This window comes from Homo sapiens, chromosome 15 (genome assembly GCF_000001405.40).
Source record: "Homo sapiens chromosome 15, GRCh38.p14 Primary Assembly".
NCBI classification, from domain to species: Eukaryota; Metazoa; Chordata; class Mammalia; order Primates; family Hominidae; genus Homo; species Homo sapiens.
This window is the reverse complement of record NC_000015.10, coordinates 54,623,441-54,633,794: the sequence shown is the minus strand read 5'-3', so window position 1 is coordinate 54,633,794 and position 10,354 is coordinate 54,623,441. Positions and strand designations below refer to the sequence as shown.

At 35.6% G+C, this 10,354-nt stretch overlaps 1 protein-coding gene across 7 annotated transcripts in view; it reads right to left on the bottom strand.

The window, feature by feature from the left end:
• Window positions 1-354: 354 nt before the first annotated feature.
• UNC13C (unc-13 homolog C) overlaps window positions 355-10,354 on the bottom strand; it is a 795,839-nt gene continuing 785,839 nt past the window's right edge. For 6 of the 7 annotated variants that reach the window (XM_047432538.1, XM_017022220.2, XM_017022221.2 and 3 more), the window contains 2 exons: window positions 9,841-10,000; window positions 355-6,967 (listed from right to left, as the gene is read on the bottom strand). In XM_047432538.1, the coding sequence (XP_047288494.1) occupies window positions 6,682-6,967; window positions 9,841-10,000 (446 nt within the window). In that variant the 3' untranslated portion in view covers window positions 355-6,681. The remainder of the gene's footprint in view (window positions 6,968-9,840; window positions 10,001-10,354) is intronic. The other variant, NM_001080534.3, reaches the window with a different exon arrangement.

The following is a 10,354-nucleotide window of genomic DNA, read 5'->3' as shown; positions in this document are numbered from 1 at the left end:
AACTTTTGAAGAGTAGGAGTAGGAGGCAACTTCCTTAAGCTTATAAAAGTCATGAATGAAACCTCCAGCTAACATATTTAATGGTGACAGACTCAATAGATTCTCCCTAAGATTGAGAACAAAGCAAGCATATCTGTGCTCACCACTCCTATACAAAATCAGACTGGTAGCCTTAGCAAGTGTACTGAGGAAAGAAAAAGAAATATGTGTACAGAGTGGAAAGGAAGAAAAATAATTGCCTCTCTTTAATAATTGTCAATGTACAAAATCCCAAGGAATCAAAAAAAAAAAAAGCTAAAACTAATAAAATGAGGTTAGTGAGGTTCCAGGATACCAAGTCAATATACAAAAATCTTTCTTTGTACAGGAAATAAACAATTGGATTTTGAATTTTATTCTCAAAGTAACATTTATACTCTTGTACACATACAGAAGAAATCCTTGGTAGGATTTGTATGCTGAAAACCATAAGACAGTAATAAATCAATGAAGATGTAAATAAGTGGAGACATATACTGTGCCCACGAATTGAAGATTCAATATTGTTAAGACATCGGTTGTTTGTAAATTGGTGTATGGATTTAATAAGTTCTCAGTCAAAATCCCAGTAGGCTGTTATTTTTTTTTTTGAGACAGAGTTTTGCTCTTGTTGCCCAGGTTGGAGTGCAATGGCGTGATCTCGTCTCACTGCAGCCTCCGTCTCCTGGGTTCAAGTGATTCCCCTGCCTCAGCCTCCAGAGTAGCTGGGATTACAGGCATGCGCCACCATGTCTGGCTAATTTTGTATTTTTAGTAGAGTCGGGGTTTCTCCATGTTGGTTAGGCTGGTCTTGAACTCCTGACCTCAGGTGATCTGCCTGCCTTGACCTCCCAAAGTGCTGGGACTACAGGCGTGAGCCACCGTGCCTGGCTGGCTGTTAAAATTTTTATAGAGAGTGAGAAGTAGTAGAATACTCCACTGTTTTGAAGAGAAGAACATGGAGAACTCTTACTACCTGAGTTCAAGACAGTATAAAGCTACAGTAATTGCTACAGTGTCACATTGGTGATAAGGTATAGAGTCAGATCAATGGAACAGACTAGAGATGTCAGAAATGGACTCACACACATTTGGTCAATTGATTTATGATGAAGGTACAAAGGTAATTCCAAGTGATAACTGTAGTATTTTCAATGAATTGTGTGGTGCTGGAACAATTGGACATGCCTATGAAAATTAGTTTCTAATTAATTACTCAATTGTAATTTAATAATTATAGATGAACCTTAACTCAAACTTTACACCCTCTATTAACCTCAAAACGGTTCATAGGCCAAATTGTAATACCCCAAAGTATAAAATTTCCATATGAAAACATAGGAGAAAAAAATCTTTTTGGCCTTGAGTGAGGCAAGTAATTCTTATGGTAGCAAAGCTATGATCTATAAAAGAGAAAAAATGATTTCATCAAATTCGACTTGATGGAAGTGAAAACCTTTTGTTCTCTTAAAGAGGTTGTTATAAAAATGAAAAGACTAGCCACGGACTGGGATGAAATAGTTGCACATTTCATATCTGACAAAGGGTTTGTATATGGAATATGAAAATATGTCCCCAAACTCAACAATAAACAACTCATTAAATAAATGGGCAAAAGATTTGCAGATACTTCACTAAACAAAATATATGGATGTCAAATAAGCACACACAGAGATACTCAATGTTATTAGTCCTCAGATGAATACAAATTAAAGGCATGTTGAGATGCTATTTTGTGTATATCAGAAGAAGAACTAAAATAAAGAACTGACGATACCCAGTGCTTGCAAAGATGCAGAGCAACTGAAACTCTCATACATTGCTTCTGGAAATGTAAAATTTTACAACTACTTTCAAAAAAGTTTGAAAGTTCCTTATGAAGTTAAAGATATACTTATCATAAGACCTAGAAATCACACTCTAATAGATAATCACCCAAGAAAAATAAAAACAAGTATACACAAAATCCTGTATGTGAATGTTTATAAAAGCTTTGTTCATAATATTGCCAAACAAGGTAAGTGTAGTAAGTGGTGAATGAAATCTTTTTAATGTTCATACAGTGCAGTACTATTCAACAAAAAAAACTAGGTAATAATTTATACATGCCACAATGTAGATGAATCTCTGGTGCATTGTGCTAAGTGAAATTATACAGGCTCAAAAGAATATATACTGTATAGTTCCGTTTATATGACATTCTGGAATACACAAAACGTGAGGGACTAAAATGAACCAGTGCTGCAGAGGGTTGATAGTAGGAAAAGTGTTTGTCTATAAAGTGGTAACGTGGAATTTTGAGGTATGAGGGAATTGTCCCATATCTTGACTGTTGTGATTAATACATGACTACGCATTTGTCATAACACAGAAATGTATGCCAAAAGAGAGAATTTTAGTATATGCAAATTAAAAAATATGCATATTTTTTGAGACAGGGTCTCATTCTGTTGCCCAGGCTGGAGTGCAGTGATGCATCTTGGCTCACTGGAACCTCTGCTTCCCAGGCTCAAGTGATTCTCCTGCCTCAGCCTCTCAAGTAGCTGGGACTACAGTCACATGCCACCAGGCCTGACTCATTTTTGTATTTTTTTGTAGAGATGGGGCTTTGCCACGTTGACTAGGCTGGTCTCGAACTTCTAAGCTCAAAGCAACCTGCCTGTCTCGGCCTCTCAGTGTGCTGGGATTACAGTTGTGAGCCACTGTGCCTAGCCAAACTATGTTTTAAAATAGACAACTAAGCATTACTTTATTTTCATCGATTTATATATACTTTTTAATAAATATGCTTATTGATGCCTGGAAGTCATTCATTATAAGAAGAAACATGTACTAATAAGGGAGAAAAAAATCACCAATTAAACCATAACATGCCAAAGGATTATATATGTATCCTGATTTCAAAGTTGTCATGATGTGAAAAAACATGAGCACTTTTAAATATATATTATTTAACATTCGCAAATTGGAATTGATTCTCCTTCATATCACATATCCTAGTTTTTTATTCTAAAAATCACACTGCAGAAGCCTGAACCACAGAGAAGAGTGATCAGTGGAGGCCTGGGGAGTCAAAAGAGCAAAGGGGCAACTATTTCAAACAAAGGACTTGAGTATAAACACAGGTAACATCAGGGGAGTTAAAATTCATTCCACAGGGGAGGGCAGTCTCTTGCCTGTGTGCCCAAGAATTTTTCTAAGTAGGTGGAATTAGACATTTATTCAAGGATATTCCCTGAGTCATGTATAAGTATGATCATTTATTATTTGAGCATAAAGATTAAAGCTGCTATAGTAGTCCATAAAGGGGCTAGCTAGTATAGTCATATCTTTATGTAATGTAGAGAAATTAAAAGGAGAAAATCTTGTTTCACGCATTGTTTTTAAAAAAGACCAAATAAAAGACATTAAGTTAGAATTGTCATTTATAAATGTGCCTCATTTAAGATAAATTCAAGTTATAAATTATCCTAGAAGTAGATAAATTAGCGCAGGTTGTAGTGGGGACATCTGATTACTTAATGCATTCAAATTCCTTCGAATAGCAAATACTCCACTCTGGGTTTAAATACTTTGTGTTTGCTAAATTTGATTTACACGTGTATCTTTAAAGACCTGTAATGTGAGGTTTATCCATAGACAAGCAACAGAGCTTTGCCTTTGTGTGTTTTATCTAGAATAAGATGAATAAATTGCTACACACATTAGTGCAACACTCAATTGACAGAGATCACTGGGAACCTTAGAGTGACTACTAATTTGGGTAAGTAAATATAACAGGCTTTGTTCTGAAGACAACGGGAATACTTGTGCTTTGAGAGGAAAACAGAGTCTACAGAATTTATAATCATTTCAAAATTAGTACCTGTACTTTATGATAGTCATAAATAGACTTAATTCACCCTGCCACTATTAGGCTTTGATATATATTGTATACATTGTAAAAGACAGAATAATTGGATGCAATTAAACATGTCAGGGAAAAAATACCTTGCTCAATTTAAAGTGATCAATGCAAATCCTAACTGCCTTTTACTCAAATGTATCATGTATTATGACATTAATATGTGCTCCTAAAGAGCTTAAGTCAATGTTCTGTAAAATATTTATAACATAAATCTAGAATGAATTTTTCAAGTAATTGATGAAAACTTTTATCATGTGAGATTTTTAACCATGTTGCATGTTGAATTTTGTTCATGGGACTAAACGGTATTTAGCAATATATAGGTAGATACATTAGTTCATCCTTATTTTCCTCGTCATTACAATATACAGTGGTTTCCATGAACACACCACCTGTGGAATGAATTTTAACATCTGAACTTTTTTTTAAAAACTTTTATTTTAGATTCAGGGGTTCATGTCCAGGTTTATTACGTAGGTAAATTGTGTGTCACGGGGGTTTTGGTGTAGATTATTTTGTCACCCAGGTAGTAAGCTTCGTAGCGTGACAGATACTTTTTCTTATCTTTTCCCTCCTCCTACCCTCAAGTAGGCCACAGTGTCTGTTGTTGCCCCCTTAGTGTCCATGTGTCCTCATCGTTTAGCTTCCACTTGTGATAACAAACATGTAGTATTTCGTTTTCTATTCCTGTGTTAGTTTGCTTCAGGTAATGGCCTCCAGCTCCATCCATGTCACTGTGAAGGACATGGTCTCATTCTTTTTATGCCTGCATAGTATTCCACGGTGTATATGTACCACATTTTCTTTATCTGGTCTACTGTTGATGGGCATTTAGGATGGTTCCATGTGTTTGCTATTGTGAATAGTGCTGCAGTGGACATATACGTGCATATGTGTTTATGGTAGAATGTTTGTTTGATATTCCTTTGGCTGTGTACTCAGTAATGGGATTGCTTAGTCGAATGGTAATTCTGTTTGTAGGTCTTTGAGGAATCACCACACTGCTTTCTACAATAATTGAAGTAATTTACACTCCCACCAGCAGTGTATAAACAAACAAACATTTTTCTTCACAACCTCGCCAGCATCTGTTATTTTTTGACTTTTTAATAATAACCATTCTGACATCTAAACTTTTAATGAGATGTTAGAACCAAATAATATGAAGACTATTACATATGGTCAAAAGAGCCTGGAGTTTTTATTCCTAAATGAGATGATATTGCATAAATGAAATAAAAAGGCAGAAGATACAATACAATGCTGCATGTGCTCAATATACATCCATTTATTAAAGCATATGCCAGAGGATCGCATCACACTATGCATTTAGAGGAGTCATTAACAAAGCAGTGGCCTAACAGTTTAACATGAATTAGCTCACCTCACTGGTCTGTGATTTCATACTCAGTTGCAGAATGGTTCTGACAGTCATGATACTAAGCACTTCTGTACTTAACGTATTAGATCAGCTTGTTCACAAAGCACAATCATAACAGGCTCTTGTTTCTGCTTCTGTAAGTAGTCCACTAACAGTTATGACCATAAGTTATAATTACAAAGTACTGTTTTACAGCCATATATTTTGGCATAGACTCTAAAAAGTCAAATCATAACAATACAGAAAATGCACATATTCATAAACTGTTTTATATTCAAAAACCAACTTAGCTATATTTTTAGGTACCAAGCTGTATTACATTGTTCTCCTACTGCATTTGATGCATTTGGGGCTTATAAATACAAATTACAAAATTTTAAGCAATTTCTTCCGACTTAATTTTACTATTTTTTCACTAAGTGGATGAAAACATGACTTTTGGCATCAGTACAATATATAGTAATGCTGCATTCAATACTAATCATTGAATATTTTTAAAAATAAAGCATTGAACTGATTATAGAGTCATAACTGTCAGAGGGAAGATATTAACAATATAGTTACTTACAGGTATTTTCAGTAAACTTTCCATCCCATTTCTAAACCATTAATGACTTTTTAAAGAATGAAATATGGTAAAGCCAAGACATAACACTATATGACAAATGCATTAACTTACCATTTTTACAAATGTGATGTGATCTTGGCAGTTTTAGAGAACAAAGTTTTGTCAATATATATCAAACATTGTTAACAAACTCTAGCATTGCTTTATGTAAGTTTGCTTTAACAGCATTTCTTCACAGTGATATTTCAGAAAGGTTGGAAACTGGTCAGCAGAAAATATTTCCCACCTTTTCTATTTTAATGTGTATGCAAAAATCACAATATCTGCGACTATAAAATTACAAATGCTTTCTAGAAGTGACTGCATTTCTAGTTATGGTAGAAAAGGGTATTTGTAAGACATCTATAATGAGGTAAGTAAATAAAATGGAAATTGAGTAATAAATGTTTTCTGATCTATGGGCAATATAATCTCATTTAACAAAGACAACTGATGGGCAAACTCAAAAGACTAGTTTTTAAAAATTATGTTTAATGAATGTGAAATGGGTAAAGAAACAAAATAAACATGTTAAAAGGTGTTCTTGATATTTCACTTTACATCATAATTTTGGCACTTCATGGAACACTGATTTCCCAAAGACCAGAATTGGTATAAAAGTTCAGCAGGTTTTTTACATACCTTGTAGACATCGTACATGAGTACTGGCAAACATTGAAATGTAGTGAACTAAACATTCCCATGTATTTGCACATGCATGCAGTAGTCAAACAATTATAGTTATGTATTTAGCTTGCAGTGTTTGTTTCAAGCACTCTCTTCAGTAGATCTTGTTTCAGATTTAAGTCTTACAAATTCTTTAGCCACATCATCACTGGTCCTCTGAGAGAGTATTCTAAGGATAGTCAAACCAGTTTCATCCATAGAGATATTTTTCAGAAGAGGATACCATGCCCCATAGCTTCCCTTTTCTGCTATGTTCTGTAGCTGAATGACTGTCATTCCGATAATTCGATCTTCTCTGGCAAAGCAGTAATCCTTAACTGAGAGATGAAGTTCATAAGCCCCTGGTCGATTTTCCTTTCCGAGAATGCTGTGTGGATTAAAAATACAAATTTTGAGCAAAAACTTTACTTCCACTAGGCATCATTATGGTTCTCAAATACTGCTGAAAACTGTATACATTGGATCTGATTATTATGTTGGCAAATAGGATATCAGTGTATTTTAACCCTTTAAATTTGGCTTAGAAAGCGAATGTTAAAATGACTTTTTCCCTAGATAGAAAAGACAGAAAAAAATGGGAATTAAGATACTATGTTACACTTAATCAGTCGAGGCAGAATCTCCTGATTGCGGGTGCGGTGGAGTTGGAAAGGGGTCATGGGGGCTAGGCCAGGGTAATGGGTACCTCTTGGTAGAATTTATATGCCATTTCAATATCAGTTACTACTCGCACTTTACCTCCCCATTTCAATATCAGTTACTACTCCTCGCACTTTACCTCCAAATCTTGAATAAGCTATTATATCTAGGAGTCTTTTCTCAGGGGAATACACTGCACAGCCCATCAAGCACTATTCACAATATGCTAAATTGGATACAAATCTCCATCCAGAGTAAATCAATTCCAGCAGAGCCTGGTGATTCAATGCCGATTCTTTCCTATGGTAACAGTTAGACCTGTCAAGTGTGTGGCCTCTCCTAACAACCACCTAAGACAGCTTGTTAGTGTCAACATAATAAAGAAGGCCAAGTGGTGATATGGTAGATACAGTCTGTCTTCCTCCACCCCTTATTTTTGTTCATTCTCATATTCTTGATTTTCTAATGAATGTACATCTAGCCCTCAGCAGTACCAGCTTCCAAATTCCTTCCTTTTACAGGTGATTTTTTTCTGATGAAACATTTTGATTTCCAGGAAACACTGGTAACTAAACTTTGTACTTTAGGGAGAATCTGAAATAATGTGAAAGAAAATGGAAGTCTAGGGGATAAGAGTAGAAGAGCAAAATATGATGGGAATCAGATCTCATGAATTAAAAATGCTGCCTTTAAGTAGCTCACTGTGTTATATCTAACAAGAAACTTTAGTTGGGTCCAGGTTTTTGAGTAAGTTGAAGTAGATAGTGAAATGTTGTAAGCTGGTTTATTGGCAGGGAATGTGATCTATTAGGACCCTTTTGATAGAGTAGGATACTTCAGTTTTAATACGTGATAAGAGGGTGAAATATTCAGAGCAGAGTGCTGAAACGACTATAGGAAATCATGAACAAAAAACCTGTAAGAGAGTGTATTGGCGTGTAAATCCTTAGGGCTTTGTCCTAGGCCTCTTAACCTCTCCATGTATCCATTCCTAGGTTAGATTATTTATATTTGTTGAATTAAATGACATCTCTTGAGAGTCTGACAGGCATCACCAAATTAATAGATTTAAAACATTTTTATCATTTCTTCTTCCATCTTGGTAAATTGCTATCTTCCCAACTCCTCATGCCAAAAACTTAGGGATCATCTTTGATTTTATTCAGTGCCAGGTATCGCCCAGTTTCCCCCTGTGGATCCACCCTCCTTTTTGCTGTTTGCAATAGAATGCTGTTTGCAATAGAAAACTCATCTGTTGGGACTATATCTCAGTAGGGTTTCTTCTTGCTTCCGGTAGATTTTGGCCAAAAGGGAACCCCATCAAGAGGTTGGCAGTGAGGAGAGTGAGGTCAGAGTCTTTATTTCCCTGGCTCTTTGCCTGTGGGGCTGCCTCCAGTAGGCTGTTGCCCTTCATGGAATGTCACTGCTGCTTTCAAGGCAAGTAAGTATACATTCAAGTATACATTTCAAACTTGATGTATACTTGAAATGTATACATCAAACTGAAAAGAAATGAATAGTTCTTTCCATTAATAGTGTATTTCAATAATACATTTCAAGCATACATCAAGTTTTCACTTTCCTAATTTTAGTAATGACTCTTTCTCTCCTCTTTTCAGGCATAAGTATGGTAATAGCCTGGTTACTATTAGCCCCAGTTCCCATGATTACTCAAATTTCTCTACTCTTAACCACTTTGTAAATTCCTTTGTAAGTAAGCTCATTTTGAATTACTCTAAACTGAGTGTTTTCGGGAATTACTCTTTCATGTTCTACCTCCAGCCTATGGCAAGAATCTACTTTCCACACATGATACAGAATCTTCTCCATCTATCTCCCTACTAGGATCCGGTTAGTCACTAATAGCTATTGCCTGGACTATTGCAATAGCCTTCTAACTGATCTTTACATATTTGGTCTTGCCACCGTATAATTATTTCTGTACACAGCAAACAAAATAAAGATGTAAATCTCATCTGTTCATTTGAAAACCCTTCAGTGGACCACCTATTGAACTTAGAATTGAAAAGCCCTATGTGACACACTATCTGTACCTTGGCCTCACTTGGATCTCACTCCTTTATCTATGATGTGCTGCTTCTTAAATATCCCAGACTTGCTCTCGCCTTAGAGTCCTTGTACTAGCTATTTATTTCACTTTGTCTGAAATGTTCTGCTCTTCCATGCCTGGCTTTTTATTTGGACAGGTTTCAGTTTAAAAGTCACATGCTCAGAGAGGCTTCCCTGACCTCCCAGGCAAAGCAGCTAGTCATAGCACTTACCACATAGTTCTGCATATTGTATTTAATGCCATATGACAAATATTTGTGACTTTATCATACACTCCTCATCTGTAGAAAGTAACTTATATGAGTGCACTGCAAAAGATTGATTCAGACACCTCCTATGATATATACACCTAATGACTATAACATTGGCTGATACATGGCAGGCACTGAACAGATATTGAATGAATGGAAGGGAACTAAAAACAGAGCCTTCTTCATTTTCCTTAGCCCTTCACACTCCAAATCCCTCAGTAAGGTCAGCTGTACAGTAACTATTGCCTGGTAGAATAAGTAAGGTGGGTTTATGACTTACAACTGAAATGTTTCATTGTACTTTGGTGACCATGTGTTGCTTTTTGTTTTTGTGCCTTGTTTTCTCTTCTTGTCTCCAAGGTTGGGTCCCAGTATACAAACTTCCACAAAGGGGCGGAACATTGCTGTGGTCTGCCAGTTTAGGTCATTAATAGCAATCACTAAAAAAAAGGAAATATCACATTTTAGCAAACAGATGTGTGGAAATTTAGAGTGAAATTTTAAAAGTGATTTATGAAGCCAAAACTTAATAATAGTGCCCTAACTCCACTGACAAGACACTGTACTCCAAGACAATAAAATACAATTTTCTTTCTGGAAGGCACACCTGATGGAGCTTTCAGCTTTAAGCTGTGTAGCTTTGGTGAAAAGTTAGTTAGCTGCAATTAAAATGATATCTGTTACTAATGAAAAGTTAGCACTCTCCTCCTCTTGGTAAAAACATGGTGTTGTTCGTATTGAACATGAAGATATGCTCATCAGGAAATAGATAAAATCTATAAATTTACCAGTCA